Source organism: Homo sapiens, chromosome 5 (genome assembly GCF_000001405.40).
Source record: "Homo sapiens chromosome 5, GRCh38.p14 Primary Assembly".
Classification (NCBI taxonomy): Eukaryota; Metazoa; Chordata; class Mammalia; order Primates; family Hominidae; genus Homo; species Homo sapiens.
In genome coordinates this window covers 17,413,028-17,435,165 of record NC_000005.10, presented here as the reverse complement: position 1 = coordinate 17,435,165, position 22,138 = coordinate 17,413,028, and the positions used below count along the sequence as shown (strand labels likewise).

Sequence of the window (22,138 nt, the reverse complement as noted above, 5' to 3'; positions counted from 1 at the left end):
TCAGTAGAACCTGTACTTCAAGTAGCCATACAACCATTCTGTTTTTCATGTTCAGTACAGAATTCAATAAACTACATGAAATATTCAATACTTTATGATGAAATAGACTTTGTGATAGATGATTTTCTCCAACTGTAAACTGATGTAAGTATTCCACATTTACATGTTAAGTGTCTAAGCACATTTATAGTGGACTAGGCTAAGCTATGGTTTTTGAAAGGTTAGGTGCATTCAATGCATTTTTGACTTGGAATATTTTCAGCTTACCATGGGTTTATCAGAACATAACACATCATAAGTTGAGGAGCATCTTTCTCTCTATCTTTCTCTCTCTCTCTCTATATATATATATACATATATATACACATACATATACATATATATACACACACATATATATGCTCTGTATATATATAGAGAGAGAAAGAGACAACTCTGTTCTCTGAGTGTGTGTGTGTGTGTGTGTGTGTGTGTGTATGCACAGGCACAGAAGAGACAGAAAGAGAAATCAAATCATCCATGGCTAAATTTGAGAATAGATTTGTGTAATTATCTTTATTTTCCCAATCAAAAAGTTAATGAAGAAATGGAACTGACAAAAACAAGTACCAAGCAATATTATACTTCATTAAGGTTTTTCTCTTTTGATTTAATGACTAGACTTATTATAACTTCTTACGAAATAAATTATTGAGCAGAACACAGTTTTGTTGGGGACCAGGAATTTTCAGACACTCGGAACTCTATCCTAGTCTATCCTCTGGGTCTAATGGAAAGTTACTTGCTCAATGTTTATGTGAGCCAGGAACCAGCAGAAGTGGGTGGATAACTTCAGTCAAAACACAGGGAAATTTTAGAGGATGATGGCTGTCAGAAGTCCAGTTGCATATCTGGAAGCCATCTCTTCCTTTATTCATGACTTTAAGGACAAGTGGACATTTTTGAAAAGGTACATGGTGGTTTCTTTATACTTTGGCAAAGAGTCACTGTGGACTCAGGGTGTCCCAGACACAGGGAGCAGAGTGAGTGGCAGAGGAATCTAAGGGTGGTTCGTGATGACTGTTTGATCCAGCAGACACTTTTTAGACGTCTAAAAGGTTGGCATTTTATGGCCTATTTAGTCATTTAAATCCTCATGGGCCTTTGACCAGCAGAAGTGGGTGAATAACTACAGAGCAGTTCAACCTGAACTTCCAATTACAAAAAAGAAAAAGTGAGGGGGCAGGGGTTTGCTGGTGAATGACAGTCTCCTCCCTGAAAAATAAAACAAAATTAAAGTTAAAATAAAACAAAGTTAAAGACTACTGAAAACTAATCTAATAATATTGGCATTTCTTCCCCAAAAATATCAGCTTTAAAGAACTGAATAGAGAGTGGTGGAGAGACTGAGCTTTCCTTTGTTATCGTTCTGTTTTGATCATTTCACTGCTCCTACTTTATTTTAATAATGCGGCCAAAGACTGATTCAACCTCTCTCTCCCACTTTAATAAAGGTTCATTAGTGGATTAGGAGAGATTTGAAACCGAGCCCAGTGGAGTCAGCAGAGACAAGTTCCAAACGGCCATTCAGCACATTTTGAAAAGCGCCAAGCTAGCAACTTGGAAAACAGCCACCAATAAAATGTGGGTGTACTTGTGTACATGGAGCCCCAGTGGACAGACAAAGCACCCCTACTTCCAGGAAGGGCAACATGGCTCACCGAAAATGTTCAAGGCAAAGATTGTTGTGTCTACTCTGAGCCAACCCCAACAAAATAAATATAGCCCAACCACATGGAAAATCAGGGAGAAACTGATGACCACATATATTATTATAATCAAAATAAGTGAATAAGTGCAGCCACTTGTGCTACTCTGGGATCCCAGCATCCTCTTCGAAATCTACAAGCCCTTCTCTATGGAAGCAGGTCCCACAGTCCTACCTGGCCTACAGAGAGGGTCAATCACAGGTGTTTGCAAGCATGTAGGTGGTTTACACATCAATGCTTCACTTCCTTCTAAGCCTTCTCCAAGGGTGAAACTAAGGAGGGAGCTGTTGACTTCATCTTTTTTCCCCTGTTTCCACAGGTCTTATCAAAATTATTTCTGATGATATTTTCAATATGTACATAAAAATTCCACTTCTATTAGTATTACCAATAATGATAACAAGCTAACAATTGAGCACTTGTGAATTTTTCTAAGAACATTACAGCCGTTGGCTCATTTAATATTCAGAACCCTGTAACACACAATAACCCACACTCTTGATTGTCTGACTTAAGCCCTATCTATAATCTCCTTTCTCTCCCAAATTCAAGCAAAGGTGGTCAGGAGATACAAATCAGGCCCATAAGTGAGTTTCTGCTTATTGGAAATTTGAGAAAAGCTTTGATTTTCTGATAAAAAGGCAGACTCAGCAAAAATTCTCCCATGCCTCTTTTCCCTTCTTTTTGTATGAAAAGTAGAATCGCACACAAAGTATGGCAGAGACAAAAAACCTCATTTCTCTCACACTATTGATCAGCAGCACCTGCTCTTTGGGTTTCTCTTTGTTTAAGCTACTGTAAGTCATACTTTCTGGTACCTTCAGGCGAAGATATTCCTATCCGGTGCCATTTATAGGTGAGGAAGCTGAGACATGATAAAATGAAGCCATCTGTCTAAGATCACCCAGGTGGGAAATGCAAAAGCTTATCTTAAACTCAAACTCTTTTTTTCCCAGAGCCCACATTACTAACCACTATGGCATGCTGTGATGCCCCTGGCAACCATTAGATTAGAAATATGGACATTCTAGGCTGGCCCAGTGGTTCACACCTATAATTCCAGCACTTTGGGAGGCCCAGGTGGGCAGATCACTTGAGCTCACAAGTTCGAGACCAGCCTGGACAACATGGCAAAACCCCATCTCTACTAAAAACGCACACAAAAAGAACCCAGGCATGACGGTGCGTGCCTGTAGTCCCAGCTACTCAGGAGGCTGAGGCAGGAGAATTGCTTGAGCCGGAGAGGCAGAGGTTGCGGAGAGCTGAGACTGCACCACAGTACTCCAGCCTGGGCAATAGAGCCAGAAAGGAAAGAAAGAAAAAGAAAGGGAAGGGAAAGGAAGGGAGGAGGAAGGAAAGGGAAGGGAAGGGGAGGGGAGGGGAGGGGAGGGGAGGGGAGGGGAGGGGAGGGGAGGAGAGGGGGAAGGGGCAAGGGGGAAGGGAAGGGAAGCCGCACGCCACCACACCTGACTAATTTCGTATTTTTAGTAGAGATGAGGTTTCACCATGTTAGTCAGGCTGGTCTCAAACTCCTGACCTCAGATGATCCGCCCAGCTCGGCCTCCCGAAGTGCTGAGATTACAGGTGTGAGCCACTGCGCCCAGCCTATTGTGATTCTTTTACTCAAGTTCTCTATACAACTTTCCTATTAGCTACAGAAACACAAAGTCAAGTTCTGGATCCTCTTGCCTCTGCTTGCAACTCTGTTGCCATCTCGCCCATCCTAGATCTAGCCAATACTTCCCTTTAATTCTTTAATTTTAAATGCTTTTAATCTGTGGAATATGCCAGTATGCCAGAAGTTCCCTAACTATATTCATTTATATGATGCCAAGGGAAAATGGAAAGAGGAAGAAAGGAAAGGGGGTGGGGGATGGGAAGGGGAAGATGGGGGAAGGGAAGAAAACATTGTTATAACTAATTTTACCAGAAGTGATACATTGTGTTGGGATAACCTTTTTAACTTTCTATTTGGAAATAATTTTTAACATTACAAAGGGTTGCAAAAATAAAAATAGTACAAAGATCATCCATCCATTTAGCCTTTACCCAGATTTTGCTGCTGTTAATAGTTTATTCCCATTTGCTCTGTCATTTGCAATAGATGATAGATGATCAATAGATCAATAGATTGGTAGGCTGACAGATGATTGATAGACAGATAAATAGATACTTTTTTTCTGAACATTGTTTTTTACCCCTAAATACTTCAGTGTATCCTATGGCATATTCTTTTCTACAATCACCATACACTCATCAACTTCATGTATTTGCACTGATACAATAATTTTTTCTAATCTAACAATCATATTCTAGTTTTGTCCATTGACCAAATAATATCCTTTCTTGCATTTTCTCCCTCCAGTGCAGAATAGGTAGAGCTTCATTATAAAAGTGTTTGTTGCTGCTGTTGCTGCTGCTGTGACTGTTTATATATTAGTTAAATTATTTGATGGAAAACTTTTAGCCCTTGAATAGGGGCCAACCCGTGGACAGCCCTTATCAGGACTCAGGCTTCCAAGAGCGGTTCATACTTGACCTCATCTCTTCCATGCCTACCCTCTGTTTTATCCTTTCCACTCCTTTTTGTTGCAGAAAGAAACAAACGGCAGGGCTCACTTTAGACCCAGGTGAGCTGGGCTCCTCCCTCAGTCCTCATGATTCAGGGGCCCATGAAAAGGTCTTTCATGATAGTTTCTGAGACCCCCACCCCCAACCCTCTGGTTCCTGGGCCTGGCTGGAGCTGGTAGTGTGGTCTGGGCAGGTTTCCTGAGCCCAAATGGGGATTTGCTTGTACCGAGTCCCCCTTTCTCCCGTTTAGAGTTCTTTCCAACCCACTTTCTTATGCACAGGGTAGGCTTGACATTCCAAAGAACTCCAGATCTCGTGCCTGCAAGGTCATCCTGGGGCCCTGGGGCTGACCTCCAGTTCCAGAAAAGCAGCCTAGTGAGTGGATTGATTCTGCTGACTGGCACAGGATTGCTGTCATGGGATGGTGTGCGATTGGGCTGCCAGAATGGTGCTGACATCCTGATTTTGAATGATTCTCACTCACTTGGTCACAGGATGAGTTCAGGACTCTGGGCTCCCAACAGCCATCAGCCAGCTCTTGGGTTCGAGCTGCATGTGAGGTTCCCTGCCTCCTCAGTTGTCCCTCTTGCTGCTACTATGGTGCTGTCTTTGCTCTGCAGCACCCGCGGTGGCAGGCAAGGTTTATGCTGTGGACCCCCTGCTGCTGAAACCCAGGGCCATCCCCCATCCCTCTGCAGGCTGCACCATAGTGCTCGAAGGTGGCTTCACCCACCTCCTCCAAGGGCTTTCCGGATTGTTGTTCTGCAACACCAGCAGGCTCTTCCAATCCATGTTCATTCTTTCCTCCAGCTGATGTGATGACTGTGCCCTCCCAGGTTAAGCTGAGCCAGATAAGGGTCAGGGATTCCTTGCCTAAATGGGATCACTCTTCTTGCTCCACCACTGGAAACAGTGTGAGGAAACCAGGGGTGCAGTCAACATGAAAAGAGATCACATTTTAGGAGTGCTGTGATTACAGCCTCAAGGGTTCAAGAGAAGACATGGTTGGAAAATGTGTTGTTCTATATTTATACCATAAAGTTCCAAAGGGTAAATTTACCTGACCATAAAATAAATGACTGTGCACATTTTCCTGCATACTCTGTGCATTTGTGGTCGCCTTCAAAGAAGCACCGGCACGACCTCTGAAAAAGCCATCAGAAGCCAGTATTCACAGGCAGCAGGATGGATGGTACAGCATCATGAGTAATGATGTAGCCAGCATGAAACAAATAGCACTGGGGACTTTAGAGGCAAGAAGAGTCAGAACGTCTCAACACAGACAGGTTCTGACAAGCTATAGGTCTTGAATAATAACAAGATTGCCACCCTTTTCTCACAGTGGGAGATATGAATTACTCAGGAACAACACATTTGACAATAACTAATATGAAGAGATGATTCCTGGATCCAGAAGGAAAGAGGTGGTGTCAGGATGCTGCAAAGAATTATCAAGTAGTCTGGACAATAAACAAATATATCAGTACCTCCTTACCCATCATTCTTAATCTTCAGTGGTCAATCACTAAACCTTGTATATGTTTAAAATTTTGCAAAGCATTTTTCAAAGGAATTGCTTGTATAAATGAGAGACCCACAAAAAAAAATACTTGCCCAGAGTCCCACGTATCCTAGTGTGGGCCCTAAAGAGGTAGGATAGACACGTTCTCAATGTCCTAATTCTAAGAAGGGCATCACAAAGCGTGAAGGTACTCCAAAGACAACTCTGAGTTTTTCTTACATCTTGATCAATTCCCATTGACTTTTAAGCATTGTAGAAAGTAGAAAAATTACAACCAGAAAATGTGTCTGGAACACAGGCAGATACCCACTGAAACTTGAGACCAGAGTAAGAGAGACTGACTTCAGCTCAAAACAGTGAAGTCTCCAAGGCCTCATGCACACACTTTGAACAAAGAAGAAAATATGGCTGTGCAATTGCACAACTTGAGGAATAGCACATGGGGGATAGGCTGCCAGTCTAGCTAGAGAAGGAAATATACAATCCCATTACTGCAAGCTAAGAAGAAGGACAATTCATCAAGACAAGAAGGTTCTGTGGCAGTGTCTAAGGAGTCACTGTACTTTATTCAATAGTAAAAAAAAGCTCGGAAAAAAAGCTGATCTGTTTTCACAACTAGGTGAGCCCTAGTCACCTGTTCCTTGGAAACTGCTTCATTTTCTTTCTGCTTCTTTTGTGCTACACCCACGTTTTCTTCCCCTTCCCCGCCAGGTCTCCTGTTCTGCAGGATTAGAGCTGAGCCCAAAGCGGTATGTTCTGTTCCTCCCTGGCAGCAACACTTCCACATTCGGAAGTGCCAACCTATGCGCAATTCTTCTCATGTCAGTTTCATTGTTCTTTCCCTCCTTCACTTTGTGATAATTATGCCTATTGGTATCTCCATTTATTTTTCCAAAGAGCACTAAGAAATGTATAACCCCAGAGCAACAGAAGCACAACCCACCACTACTTCCTTTTTTTGGAGTCTTTGGCTTGGATCAAGTTACCATTTGCTGTATTCATATGCGGGCAGGAAGAATTACAGAAATAAATAAGTTAACCCTCACTTCAACAATGACTGGAAACCATGATTAATTCAAACAAAAGATATGTGCAGTGACTTTAACATTTAGAAGGGCCAAATTATGCTATCCTTCCTTTATTGAGTAAAGCATACTCTGCTAAGGAGAGCCTAATTTCTGTATTTCTGTCACTTAATAGGTAGTAGAGGATGTCTACAGCTTTTTTTGGAAAACCTCAGATATGACAGGGAAAAAGAACAAAAAAATTGAAGAAAACAAAGAGTACAGTAAAACTGTGAGAGGGAAAGGAGGAAACAGAAAAAAATGAAAGAAAGAGGTATGTCTGATAGGATGGAGAAGGAGTCAGTTCCATGTAGATTGAGAGACTCTTGGGATATGGTTATTGGCCAGATGCCATATATGTTGTATATGAAACTGGGATAACTATAGCAGAGGTTGTTTTGAAAATGAATTGGCTAATGGGAATTTGCTGCATGCCTATCTTACGCTATGTATAAGGAACATTTCAAGCCCAGTTGTTACACATCAGTACTTTCTCTTATTGTTACATGTCAGTGTCCCTCTTTACGTCACAGTGAGGGCTGGGATGCAGGAAAAGTGAAGCCTGGGTTCACCTAGCACAATACCCTTTTTTCTCAGCAATTCTATTAACATAACAACTGTGACAAATGTCATAATACAAATGCCAACAGACAGCTGGACACGGGGGCTCCTGTAATCCCAGCACTTTGGGAGGCCAAGATGGGAGGATTCTTTGAGCTCAGGAGCTCAAGAGCAGCCTGGGTGACATAGTAAGACCTCATCTCTACTAAAAATAGAAAAATAAAAATTAGCCAAGCATGGTGGTGCATGCCTGTAATCCCAGCTACTCAGGAGGCTAAAGTGGGAAGATCACTTGAGCCCAGTAGTTCAAGGCTGCAGTGAGCTCACACAACTGCACTCCAGCCTGGGTGACAAAGCAAGGTCACCAAGGTGCTGTCAAAAAAAAAAAAAAAAAAAAAAAAAGCCAACCAAAGAATTTGAACACATTGTTTTTATTCTGGCTTTACAAGGAATTTCAGTATATGAAGAGATTTCCTTGCTTAAATTATTTTGCTAAAATATTTAACTAATAGCTGGCATTAATGAGTGAGTGTGATGTTCTAGGTATACTTTCAGGTACCTTAAATGTAATAATTTATGGAAAGCTCACAATAGCTCTACCCTCATTTTGCTGATGAGGAGATTGAGGCTCAGAGGGACTAAGCAACCTTCCCAAAATTTCCCATCTGGTAAGTGATGAAACTGGGTTACAACCACAAAGCAGCTTATTCGAAGCTACTTTTGAACTCTCGGATATTCCAACACATTAAATCAATTAGCATCAACTAGCATCTTTAATGACTTTTTGATTTGGTTCTACTTGCTACATCTGCAGTCATCGTCATTCATCCACAAAATAAATACGCTTTCTCACTCTCCTGATTATTAAAGTGCTCTGTTCTCCTGAACTTGACAAAACCTGAATATTCATTCAGGAAGCAAATAACTGGTGAAATCTATTAAACCATCCAGAGACTCTTCCAGGCCATAGATCTGAAACTGTCATGGGTAGTTTAGTAATTTTTGAGAATCCACAATGCCTTTAGAACTGCACAGAAGATGAAAGAATATTATCTCTACCTCACCCTCTGAAAAAAGCCAGAGAAAAACCAGCAGAACTTCTTGTTCCTGTATCTGGTGGCACATCATATGCTTTTAGATATGATCATCGAGACAAGCAGAGTTTCAATTTTCTTTTTAAGCTCCACCCTACAACCAGCAGAAGAGAAAGTTTTCTAAATCACGCAGACCCATGTTACTTTTACAGTGGAGCTGGTGAGGGAGTAGGGTGCTGTTTTTAATTCTGGAAAGCAACACACACAATGGAAATCTGATCCTACAAAACCATACCTCTGGGATAGCATCACCTTTCAGTCTCATAACATTTAATTGCCTACATAATTCACACTTTTAGAATATAATTATGGGTTAATATCACATTTGCATACAAACTTCACACAGGCACAATAAATCAATTACAGCCACCTGAAAAATCAAAGACATGTCTCTGAGGTATCTACTTATCCATAAGCCTGTTTAGAAAAATTTCCCCTCCCTTTTTAGTTTGTCTCCAGGGCTAATACCTAAATCCAGAAGCCTGAACCATCCCATCATTTCCACATCTCTTTTACTCAAGGAGAGCTTTAAATTCCGTTTTAGGACTTTTTCTCAAACAGGTTCTCTTAATGGTAATATTCAAATAAAGGTAGGAATATTTCAATATTAATAACTAGTCTTTAGTGGGCTTTATCATTTGCAATTTACTACCTCATATATTTTTCTTGTAACACACCAAGCAACCCTGTGAAATGTCATGTGAGTGACATGCAATTATCAGCATTTTACACATAAAAAATGTGACCTGAGAGAGGCGATGTAATATTATTACTGGTTACATGGCTGGGAGATATTACAGTCAAGATTCATACCTAGGTTTTCCGAGGCTGAAATGTTCAGCAAAAATCCACTTTAATATGAATCAGGCCATATGTACATACATTTTATTAAACAAAAATCTAGAAAATATCCTAAGAGTAGATGTAAGCATTCCGTGAGGTATTTTCTATGAATTCAAGCATACTACAGCTACCACCACATAAAAGACAGACGTGAAACCAGACTCGAAATGAAAACCAACAGAACTATTTTTATTACCCACGCTTTGTATAAAAAACAAGAGGAGAAAAAAGCCTGAAGATCAAATGACAAAGAACTTTCTAAATCTGTCACTTAGTAACATATTGCTAAATTCTTGTTTTCTTTGTCCGCATATGTTAAAAGTCTGCCTTCTACAGAAGATTTTATATTCTTTCTCTCTCTCTTAATACTCTACCTTCTCGAGTGCAATGGGAGAATGACAGGGTGACTGATTAATACATGCATAATATCAAAAATGTGTAAGACATGTGTAAAGAGAATTTTTTTTTGTCTTTGACATTGCCTGTGTTCCTCCCATTTTTACTAATTTTTCAGGTATGAGTATTGTATAATGAAGATCCAGGATACTGCAAAGCCAATTAAACACAAAGGACATAACTTTCACCTCAGGAGATGCACACGTGCCCACAAAACCCGCCACTGAGCTGCCTCTTTCTCTATGTCTACATTTCAGACCATCTCTAAAACATTCGTGGGCAGCTCATAATTCTTGCCAAATCCATATTTAACCTTCTGCAGCCACATTAGTGGACATGGCTTCAGCATTCGTTGCCTAGAAAACAGATCAATAGGCTCTACATTTTGAAGGGCATCAAATCCTCCCGGTCAGGGGCAGAGAGGCGGTGGGCCTGAGAAGAGCCAGCAGCAGTCAGATTGAGCCTCACTGCGCTGCCTGCACCGGACGGAACAGAACCTTTCTGGGGCTTGCCGGGCATCCCGCACCTAGCGGGGGCTGAGTTGCTGTGCTTCTCCTGGGCACTCAGAAATGCATCAGCCTGGGCCAACAAATCAAAGCCGAAGCTCAAACTAATTACAGTCTGTGTGTGGCCAGGGCAATCCCAACAACTCCCATGATTAAACTTCAGAGGGGTTTCGAAACGTCTGCAGGTAGACACATTCCAGCCCAGCCGTCTTTTCTCCCTTCAGCATCTTCAACAAACTCTTGGGCAAGATTACAGGAGATTCTCCCTTTCTCTATTATATATTTCTGTAACAAGTTGAGTCTCTTTAAATGGTAAGCAGATATCCTTCTTATCAAAAAAAATGCTTAAAAATTACCTCCAGCTCAATATTCTTTTATATCATTGCTGTATCTGAATAACATGTTCAAATGAAAACTGTGTTGCCTCTGTTTGAGTCACAATCATTAAGGGCTGAGCTGCTTCCAAAGACCACAAAGAATGTGCTTCTCTTCAATTTAAATGATTATCTCAATGTGGAATATGAGTAGGTTTTGTTGGGGTCTTTGAAACCGTTTCTGAGTTACATATCATAAAGTCTGTGCCATTCACAGCCATGAATAAAATAAGTTGTAAATGAGTAAAGTGTAAAATTGCATGCACTGCAATTTGACCCTTTCATTCAAAAGATGAAAAATCTGGCTTAGTTCTGGAAATTCCTTCAATAGACTGAGTTGGAAAATTTCCACCAAACTAGATGTTTATTTTATAAATAAAACACACCATATCACACATCCAATGTCAAAAATGCTCTTAGCTCTACCTTCAAAGGCTACCTCGGACCTAACCACTGCTCACTCCTTCTTCTGCTTCCATACTGGCTCAAGCCATTCTCCCTCACTTAGGTCATAGACTCTTTGTGATTCCATGTAATTACATGGAATAGACATTCCTCAAATGTCGATTCCAAACACATGACCCTCTGAAAACATAAGTCAGATCATGTCAGCGCTCTGCCCAATACCCTGCAATGGTTCACTAGTTCCCTCTGAGGAAGAGCCAACACCCATAAAGGCCACCAGGCCCTCCTTGAACTGTCCCCATTAGAGCTCTCCTTCTCATCCCTGATCCGGCATAATGGCTTCTTGCTGCCCTCAATGATGCCTTGGCTGCAGCTCCTCTCTACCTAGAAACCTCTCCTCTACATATCTGCATAGCTAATTCCCTTCACTTCTTCAAATCTTTGCTCAAATTATCCCATTTCAGTGAGGCCTTCCCAGACCTCCCTATTTAAATGGTAACCAGTGCCTTTCTTTTTCCCCCACTACCCTACTCCACTGTTCCCTGTTGCCACAGCATTTTGTCTCTTCTGGGATATTATATAAATTACCATTGTATTATGGTGACTGTTTATCATCTGTCTTTGTTCATTTGGTTCACCTGTATATCTCAAATCACCTGGAACCATACTTGACCCATAGTAGGGGCTCAGTAAATATTTGATAATGAATGTTGAAAGAAAGATGAGTTGGAAATGGCTAAAATTATGCTATCCCTTACCAATATACCAATATACTCCATTGCAAATTTTGGAATTTCCTTTTTCTTACATACAGTTCTTAATATTGATTTACTTCCCCAACATAATCCACAAGGGAATAAAAGAAGATTCAATTCCTCTCTTTCTATTCCAACCAAAGTTACACTTTTTGAGGAGAAAAAGTGGAAAGTAGGCCTGTGAGCTCAAATTTTCTCCATTGTGCATAAATGTTTGCACATGTGTATCTGTTGTTAGAATGGCCTCATAAATTGTAACAGCAAGTCAGAGAAAGCCAAGTGAGCTATCCAAAATTCAACTGAATATCATCTTAAATATTCATCAGAGTTGTAAGGTCTTAAGACCATGAAAGAATGCAGAATCACACCAAGAAAAAAAATCTTTACCACTTAATAAAAACTATACTTTTAAATACCTTGAGATTCCATCAATTGTCTTTAGATGGTACAATGGTCTTAAGAAGTCAAGGAAAAATATATTTACAACTCTTACAAAACAAAAAAAATATTGAGTTCTATCAGGTGATCAACCTGGATAAAATCTGCAGATTTCTGTGAATAAAGAGAAGAATTGGGGAGCTATGTGTATGAAACATCAAGCCAGAGGAATGGGCTACGGGACCAAAGAGGCCCACCCTTATTACATTTCAAAGTCCATGAAATGACAACTGTAACATGGGGCTCCATGTATCCCATTGTGATCATTCACAAGACTCCCAGTCTTAAGTAACCTGAATTAACAGGGAAGGAGCCTACTATCTTCCATAAATTGGGAAGCATCTTTTAACCTTGGGAAAATATAGCATTACCAAATAAAATTTTAAGAGCCTGAAGATCTTGGCATATTATTTGTGTTAAAACAGAATCGAGAGGCCAGATGCAGTGGTGTGCACCTGTAGTCTCAGCTACTCATAGGACTGAGATAGAGGGATCACTTGAGCCCAAGATTTTGAGTTTAGCCTGAGCAACATAGCAAGATCCCACCATTAAAATTTTCCTTAAAAATTTTTCATTAAAAAAAAAATGTATTTATGCCTATAATCCCAGCACTTTGGTAGGCCAAAGCAGGCAGATTGCTTGAGTCTAGAGGTTTGAGACCAACCTGGACAACATGGTGAAACATCTCTACAAAAAAATACAAAAAAATTCGCTGGGTGTGGTGGCATGTGCCTGTAGTGCCAGCTACTCGGGAGGCTGAGGCAGGAGGATCGCTGGAATCCAGGAGGCGGAGGTTGCAGTGAGCCGAGATCACACCACCGCAATCCAGCCTGGGTGACGGAGTGAGACCCTGTCTCAAATAATAATAATAATAACAATGTAGAAGAATGCCTGGCACAAAAAAACGGTGTTCAATAAACATTGGCCATCATTATATTGAAATGGAATCTATATGCATTTAGTGTGCTTCTCATGACAAACTTCTCAAATCAAACATTTCAAAGTACTTGGAATGATTTGGCCTGTTGAAGTGACAACATTTTAATGTTCATTTAAAATGTATGTTTGAGTCATTGACTTAAACTTCAGGTCTTAAGATAAAATCATACTAAGTCTGGGCATTATACTAGAATATCAAAGATAATTAAGGCTCTCGTTATAAAGTATATTTTTATATTTATAATAGTTATTTGGGATGAGGGAAAGTTTTATTTGTTAAGGCAGATAACAAAATTAAAGTAAAAACTATAAAATGTATAAATGCTTATTTACTACAGTAATATACCAGGATGAAATGGGATTTATCTAGGTCTGTAAATGGAACCAACGTTATTCCCAGGCCCTTTAGAAATTATTGTGAAAATCTGCTAAATAGAATAGAATAGAATAGAATAGAATAGAATAGAATAGAATAGAATAGGAAAGTCTGTGGGCCGGGTGCAGTGGCTCACACCTGTAATCCCAGCACTTTGGGAGGCAGAGTTGGGCGGATCACCTGAGCTGGAGAGTTCAAGACCAGCCTGACCAATATGGAGAAACCCCGCCTCTACTAAAAATACAAAATTAGCCAGGCGTGGTGGTGCATGCCTGTAATCCCAGCTACTCGGGAGGCTGAGGCAGAAGAATCACTTGAACCTGGGAGGTGGAGGTTGCAGTGAGCTGAGATCGCACCATTGCACTCCAGCCTGGGCAAAAAGAGTGAAACTCCATCTCAAAAAAAAAAAAAAAAAAAAAAAAAAAAAAAAAAAAACAAGAAAGTTTGTAAACTGAGCTTTAAAGATTCAAAAACAACTGGAGTTTTGAATTCCCAACTTTCATAAACTGAATACTAGTTGGTTCAAAATAAAAGTAGACAATTGATCTTTTCTAAATTTTATACACCTTTCTGCACATAAAAAAGATTTTGGGAAGAGTAAAAAAATAATGAAGATGAAAACCCAAATGTGTGACTCCTAACCAAGGAAAGCTGGTGTCAGGAGAGTGGGATGTCCTCAGTGTGCAGGGACTGGAGAGGGAATGGGTGGGTAGGGAATGGGTGGGAATAGTGGCAGCGTCTAGACAAGTGGCCCAAAAATAATAGTATTATGGGCAGAAAGGGAAATTTTCCCTGAACAAGAAAAATAATAATCATCATCACAAAATACTCAAAGTGCTCTGGACACCATGAATGAGGAAGAAATGAACCCAGGTAGGACTTGCCAGACTGGGAAGGGAAGGAAGTTGTCCAATGCAAGTTCTTGGAGAACCGCAGCTGTGACAGAGAACAGAGTTGGGGACTCTGGATCTGAGCACCCTTGCTCTCTGCAGAGGCTCCCTTTATCCCAAAACCGTGCTGTTGCAGCCACGACTAAACCAACAGGATTTCTTGGTAGACACTCCATAGCACATATTCAAGAGTGAATGTGTGTGGGTGTAACTTTCTGTTAACAAGTTCATTCTCCAGGACAGTTTAAAAGATCTGAACTCTGAACACCAAATGCTGAAAGCTTTCTTGAATTCTGAAGGGTATGTACCATAAATCTAGTAAAATTTAGTCAAAAAAACTTAAAACACCTTGAATGTCTACAGGTAAATGATAATAATACTGCTGCTTGCCTTTATTTAGTTTACAAAGAGCTATTTTCTGCATTTTCTCCTCTGCTCCTCAAAATGGCCCAATTATCAGGGGGACCAATCAGGCCATTTTTAACTTCATTTTGATTAACATTTTAGTAATGTAACTAAATGCACACACACACACACACACACACACACACACATACATACACTCATTTTCGCCTCACCTTTTGCAGGAAAAAAACAGAATTCCCGTGATCAATTGGCTTTCTGGGCATCGAGTGGAGATGAGCTGCTGAGAGAGGCTGGCACTGATGGACCTAGGCCTGGTTAATATCCCTCTGTTTGGGAAAGGGTTGGATTCTCCTTTTGGATTTCAGACAATATAGATCTCTAAGACTGTGGGGCTGCTATCGACAGTAAATTTCCCAAGGTGGGGGCCACCCCTCTGGCCAGCCAGGTGACCTTCCCTGGGTGAGCTTAACCCTATTCTCTCCTTTAATGCCTAGGTAAAGGAAACATTAATTCTGCATTTCAATGTAATGGAATTAAAAACATCCCAGACTGGAAGATTTTGGCTTCTCACCCACTGGCTGGGTGATTTTAAGCCACTCGCTTTATCTTAGGTGTGTTTTCTCATGTGTAGGATGAAATATTTTACAAATATGAATATGAAAATATGAGTGTTGATAATATGAATTTGAAAGTACCAATATTGTTATAAAACCATCAGCAAAAATCTCAAAATAGTAAAAACTTCAGCATACATAGATTCATCTGGAAGCCCTGCTAAAATACAGATTTCTGGGCATCGCCTCAAAGTCTTCCATTCAGGAGGTCTTAGTGCAGCAGAGAATTCGCATTTCTAGCAAGCTTCCAGATATTGCTGATGTTACTGGTCCAGGGACAAGACTTTGGTTTTGTTTTTTGTTTTGTTTTATTTTAGAGTCAGGGAGTACATGTGCAGGTTTGTCATATGTGTGTATTGCATGATGCTGAGGTTTGGTCTTTTAATGATCCTGTCACACAAGTAGTGAACATAGTACGCAATAGGTTGTTTTCTGACCCTTGCCCCACTGGCACCCTCCCCACTTTTGGAATCCCCAGTGTTTGTTTATGTGTTTATTTGTTTGTTTGTTTGTTTGTCTGTTTGTTTGTTTGTTTTTGAGATGGAGTCTCACTCTGTTGCCCAGGCTGGAGTGCAGTGGCGTGATCTTGGCTCACTACAACTTCTGCCTTCCGGGTTCAAGCAATTCTCCTGTCTCAGCCTCCCGAGTAGCTGGAACTACAGATGCGTGCCACCTCTCCCTGCTAATTTTTATATTTTTAGTAGAGATGGGGTTTCACCATGTTGGTCAGCCTGGTCTCAATCACCTAACTCCAAGTGATCCACCTGCCTTGGGCTCCCAAAGTGCTGGGATTACAGGCGTGAGCCACTGTGCCTGACCCCCCAGTGTTGATTGTTCCCGTGTTTGTGTCCATGTGTACCCAATGTTTAGCTCCCACTTATTAGTGAGAACGTTTGGTATTTGGTTGTTTCTGAATTAATTCACTTAGGATAATGGCTTCCAGCTGTATCCATATTGTGGCAAAGTCATGATCTCATCGTTTATGGCTGCATAGTATTCCATGGTGTATATGTACTACATTTTCTTTATCCAATCGACCATTGATGGGCACCTGGGTTGATTCCATGTCTTTGCTAGTGTGAATACTGCTGTAATAAACATATGAGTCTAGGTGTCTTTTGGTAGAACGATTTATTTTCATTTTGGTATATACCCAGCAATAAAATTGCTGGGTAGAATGGTAGTTCTATTTTTAGTTCTCTGAGAAATCTTCAAACTGCTTTCCACAGGGGCTGGACTCATTTGCATTCCCACCAACAGTGTATAAATGTGCAGAGACCACATTTTGAAAACCACTGGAATAAGCAGTTAAGAGAGTCCTGTATTCAACTAATTTGTAAAGTGGGATTGATAAATTGTCTTGAGTTGTAAAGAAAAGGGTACACATTGTTGCTACGTACTCCTGTAACCACCCAGCAGGTTCTCCTTGCCCACTGCCCAGAGTCTATTCATCCAGACAGGAATTGCAATAGAGAAAGAGTCGAATTCCTGCAGAGCCGGCTATACAGGAGACCAGAGTTTTATGATTACTCAAATCACTCTGAATTTGTTTGGCTGCATGTTTAGCTGCATGACTCCTAAACCATAATTTCTAATCTTGTGGCTAATTTGTTAGTCCTACATAGTGAGTCTAGCCCCCAGGCAAGAAGGAGGCTTGTTTTGGGAAAGGGCTGTTATCATCTTTGTTTCAAAGTTAAACTAAAAACTAAGTTTCTCCCATAAAATACCTACGAATTCAACTTACAAGGGATCTGAAGGACCTCTTCAAGGAGAACTATAAACCACTGTTCAACGAAATAAAGGAGGACACAAACGGAAGAACATTCCATGCTCATGGATAGGAAGAATCAATATCATGAAAATGTCCATACTACCCAGGATAATGTATAGATTCAATGCCATCCCCATCAAGCTACCAATTACTTTCTTCACAGAATTGGAAAAAAAACTATTTTAAAGTTCATATGGAACCAAAAAAGAGAGCGCATTGCCAAGACAATCCTAAGCAAAATGAACAAAGCTGGAGGCATCATGCTACCTGACTTCAAACTATACTACAAGACTACAGCAACCAAAACAGCATGGTACTGGTACCAAAATAGAGACATAGACCAATGGAACAGAACAGAGCCCTCAGAAATAACACCACACATCTACAACCATCTGATCTTTGACAAACCTGACAAAAACAAGAAATGGGGAAAGGATTCCCTATTTAGTAAATGGTGCTGGGAAAACTGGCTAGCCATATGTAGAAAGCTGAAACTGGATCCCTTCCTTACACCTTATACAAAAATTAATTCAAGATGTATTAAAGACTTAAATGTTAGACCTAAAACCGTAAAAACCCTAGAAGAAAACTTAGGCAGTACCATTCAGGACATAGGCATGTGCAAGGACTTCATGACTAAAACACCAAAAGCAATGGCAACAAAAGCCAAAATACACAAATGGGATCTAATTAAACTAAAGAGCTTCTGCACAGCCAAAGAAACTACCATCAGAGTGAACAGGTGACCTACAGAATGGGAAAAAATTTTTGCAATCTACCCATCTGACAAAGGGCTAATATGCAGAATCTACAAAGAACTTAAACAAATTTACAAGAAAAAAACAAACAACCCCATCAAAAAGTGGGCAAAGGATATGAATAGACACTTCTCAAAAGAAGACATTTATGTAGCCAAAAGACACATGAAAAAATGCTCATCATCACTGGCCATCAGAGAAATGCAAATCAAAACCGCAATGATATACCACTTCACACCAGTTAGAATGGCGATCATTAAAAAGTGAGGAAACAACAGATGCTAGAGAGGATGTGGAGAAATAGGAACACTTTTACACTGTTGGTGGGACTGTAAACTAGTCCAACCATTGTGGAAGACAGTGTGGCGATTCCTCAAGGATCTAGAACTAGAAATACCATTTGACCCAGCGATCCCATTACTGGGTATATACCCAAAGGATTATAAATCATGCTGCTATAAAGACACATGCACATGTATGTTTATTGCAGCACTATTCACAATAGCAAAGACTTGGAACCAACCCAAATGTCCATCAATGATAGACTGGATTAAGAAAATGTGGCACATATACACCGTGGAATACTATGCAGCCATAAAAAATGATGAGTTCATGTCCTTTACAGGGACAAAAATGAAGCTGGAAACCATCATTCTGAGCAAACTATCACAAGGACAGAAAACCAAACACCGCATGTTATCACTCATAGATGGGAATTGAACAATGAGAACACTTGGACACAGGGTGGGGAACATCACATACTGGGGCCTGTCGTAGGGTGGGGGATTGGGGGAGGGATAGCATTAGAAGAAATACCTAATGTAAATGACGAGTTAATGGGTACAGCAAACCAACATGGCACATGTATACCTGTGCGACAAACCTGCACGTTGTGCACATGTAACCTAGAACTTAAATTTTTTAAAAAAAGGCCTGGCGTGGTAGCTCACACCTGTAATCCCAGCGCTTTGGGAGGCCGAGGCAGGCGGATCATGAGGCCAGGAGATCGAGACCATCCTGGCTAACATGGTGAAACCCGGTCTCTATTAAAAATACAAAAAATTAGCCAGGCGTGGTGGCGGGTGCCCATAGCCCCAGCTACTCGGGAGGCTGAGGCAGGAGAATGGTGTGAACCCGGGAGGCGGAGCTTGCAGTGAGCCGAGATCGCACCACCGCACTCCAGCCTGGGCGATGGAGCGAGACTCCGTCTCAAAAAAAAAAAAAAAAAAACCTAAGTTTCTCCCAAGGTTAGTTCAGCCTTCGCCCAGGAATGAACTAGGGCAGCTTGGAGGTTAGAAGCAAGATGGCCTCGATTAGGTCAGGCATCTTCCACTTTCATAATTTTCTGTTACAATTTTTCCAAGGCAGTTTTATTCCTGAAGGTGGTCCTCTTCATTCTCTTAAAGGGGTACTCCTCCAGAGGGATATTACAATTTATCAAGTCCTTCTTCTCACGTCACCTCCCTGGAGGGTAGAAAGGCATCCATGGCAGCGTCCTTCCCCCTCCTGTTACTGAGGTTTCCTCTTCACAGAGTGGCTGCTGAACAGGGCATATGCATGGAAGCAAACAATGGTGAAAGGGTTCCTAACTGGCTGCAGAGAACCAGAGCCTTTAACATTCCTGGCTTGAGACAAAACATTCAGAGCCTCACTGGTGAGCGTGAGTGATGCCGGCCTGAGAGAGCCTCGCTCCCAACGAGGCTGTTCAGAGGCAGAGGCAGCTTGAAGACCCAGCAGCACTCGCTGCTTTGTGTTCAGAGGCAGAGGCGGCTTGAGGACCCAGCAGCGTTCGCTGCTTTGTGTGCGGGGACCCCGTGACCCTGGTCCTGTGTCACGACAGCTGGTCACCCATCTGTCCCCTCTCAGTGCAATTGGGGACAGGATAACATGAAGGCCAAACCTAAATGATTCTGTTTTCTTTTTCTTTTTTTCTTTTTTCCTTTTTTTTCCCACTGGCTGCTGATGGTTGACAAAGGGATTAAAAGCAGAAAAGATTAGACCTGTCTTTAAATACTGGCAGCAACAAATACGGGGGGGAAAGGGTATTTTATAGGAACTACAAATGGCTATCAGATAATTACACTCACTGAACTTGAACAATGAGCCTGCTCTGTTTACTCCGTACTCCTGAGTCGCTTTCTTATGCTTGTCCCGCATATGCACTATTTTCCTCTTAATAAAGTTTAATGTTTAGAGTTCAGGGAAGAGGTCAACATAAGCTATTTGAGATATATGACAGTTCTATTATTTTTCTCTAAATAACTTTTTAATTTAAAATATTTTAATCTAATATTCTGTTTGGTAGCTAATATTTTGGAGAAGTTAAATACATTAGTAAATATATAAATGTGTGTATGTTTGTGCATGTGTATATGTATAAACATATATATGTGTTTATGTAGATATATGTGTGTGTATATATACACATAAACACACACATATTTATATATATATATATATTTAGCATACTCCTGAAAAAATTATGAGCTATATTACAATAACCTCTTTGTAGGCAATCTATCCTCTCTGTAAAGTTTGACTAAAGTAATATGCTTTGTTATTTTTTTATGAACATGCCTGGTAACCTAACTCTGAAGTAAGCAGGCGATAATGTGCTTCTGTGTCTACAGAAGATGCTTTACTAAGTCTTCCAGATAAATGGGGATTTCCAAATGAAATATTTATGAAAATAGTTTTCTTTTGAAAGAACCAGTGCTGCAAAGATGGCTACCTAGACTTATAAGGACAACCCCAATGTCAAATATGCAATCGCATTGTTACATTCCGTGTGCCAGTTTTTTATTAGGCGAATACATGGTAATATAGTGAACGGCAGAGCTGGGCCACACATTGCCTCATAGATCAATCAGTTTGGCTGCACAGGACACTGAGAGCGAGAGGCTGGATGCCTTGCTTAAAGCTACACAGTAAGTTTGTGCAAGCGTTAAAAGCAGGACCCAGAGCTTCTGCCTCCTAACTCAGTATTCCTCCTGAATGATGAAAGTATTTCCCTGTTGCAGAGGAGAGGTCACTCATCGATGGACGCACCTGGGGAACCTACCTCTGAATCACCTCCTTAACCAGTGCTTTCCTTGTGGCGAGAAAAGTCATGGGCTGGGTGGGAGCAAGGCAAGATTTCTGCAAGAATCTGTCTCTACAGTCCTTCTACAGGGCAGAAAAGCCAGTATAATTTTATGATTATTTTCTGAGATTTCTAGTTCACAGGTTCTAAAGCTGATGGTGTAGGTGTGACTCACATTTGGGTACTATCCATGGTCCCTCTGCCCCACCTCCCTTTGCTTTTAGCACTGACACTTTCTCAGCTGCAAACAAGGGAACGGTCTGAAGCTCTCATATTCCATTTGAGAGATACGAAACCAGGCACAGTCCCCCATTTTTTCCCTCCAAGGATCCTGGACAAATGAACATTCAGGACAACCCTGAAAGACATGAGGAGTCCCAGAAGTAAACCCTGAAACCTGAATGGAAAGTGCAAAGTGAACTGGCATGAATTGAGCACACAACCTTTGTCTGTCTCTGCTGAGCTGATTTCTCACCTCAGTCTCAGTTGAGAAACTTGGAGGTGGGGGAGGTTGTTTGTGTGGACCTGTCTGTTCCTTCTCACCCCTAATTAGCCTATGTTCCAAGATGGAGCCAGGATCTTCCACTCCCCCGTCCACAATATGATGAGTCATCTGTCCCTCCCAGGCACTGCCCCAAAAGGGGAAGCCAGTCTGTGTCACCTCGTATGTGACTTAATTCTAACAGCTCCATCAGGTGTTCAGTCAAAAGAAAACAAAAAAGCGCCTGGTGACCAGTGTCAGAATTATATGGATTATCCCCTTCCTCTCTCTTTGGGATCTTATCAAATGCAAATCCTCTTTTGTTCATAATCTCCAAGAAGCAGATTTGAAGATGGAAGTAGATTTGAGAGTTTGGGGTGGGGGACCTGGGAAGGATAAAGGGGAGAGGAGGAGGAATATGTGGGGGACGATCCTTGGACTGAGAGCAGTTCTGACACCTGTGACAGAAGAGACAAAATTGCAGGATGTGGTAGGAGGGGCCTCAGCCTCTGGCAAGCTCTGCGTGTGTTATGTCCATGCTGATGGCGAACCCTGGAGCCAAGTTTACCCATTAGAGGAAACCC

The 22,138-nt window shown here is 41.1% G+C and overlaps 1 long non-coding RNA gene across 2 annotated transcripts in view, besides 2 other annotated features; it reads right to left on the bottom strand.

Annotated features, from left to right (window-relative positions):
• LINC02217 (long intergenic non-protein coding RNA 2217) overlaps positions 1-22,138 on the bottom strand; it is a 37,676-nt gene that overhangs the window by 6,529 nt on the left and 9,009 nt on the right. The gene's annotated exons all lie outside the window — the stretch shown is intronic.
• Positions 18,625-19,437: an enhancer, noted in NCBI's record as "OCT4-NANOG-H3K4me1 hESC enhancer chr5:17415838-17416650 (GRCh37/hg19 assembly coordinates)". NCBI's record gives its function as "activates a minimal SCP1, AML or CMV promoter by ChIP-STARR-seq in naive H9 embryonic stem cells {active_cell/tissue: H9 hESC(naive)}" and the evidence as "EXISTENCE:reporter gene assay evidence [ECO:0000049][PMID:30033119]".
• Positions 19,438-20,251: an enhancer, noted in NCBI's record as "OCT4-NANOG-H3K4me1 hESC enhancer chr5:17415024-17415837 (GRCh37/hg19 assembly coordinates)". NCBI's record gives its function as "activates a minimal SCP1, AML or CMV promoter by ChIP-STARR-seq in naive H9 embryonic stem cells {active_cell/tissue: H9 hESC(naive)}" and the evidence as "EXISTENCE:reporter gene assay evidence [ECO:0000049][PMID:30033119]".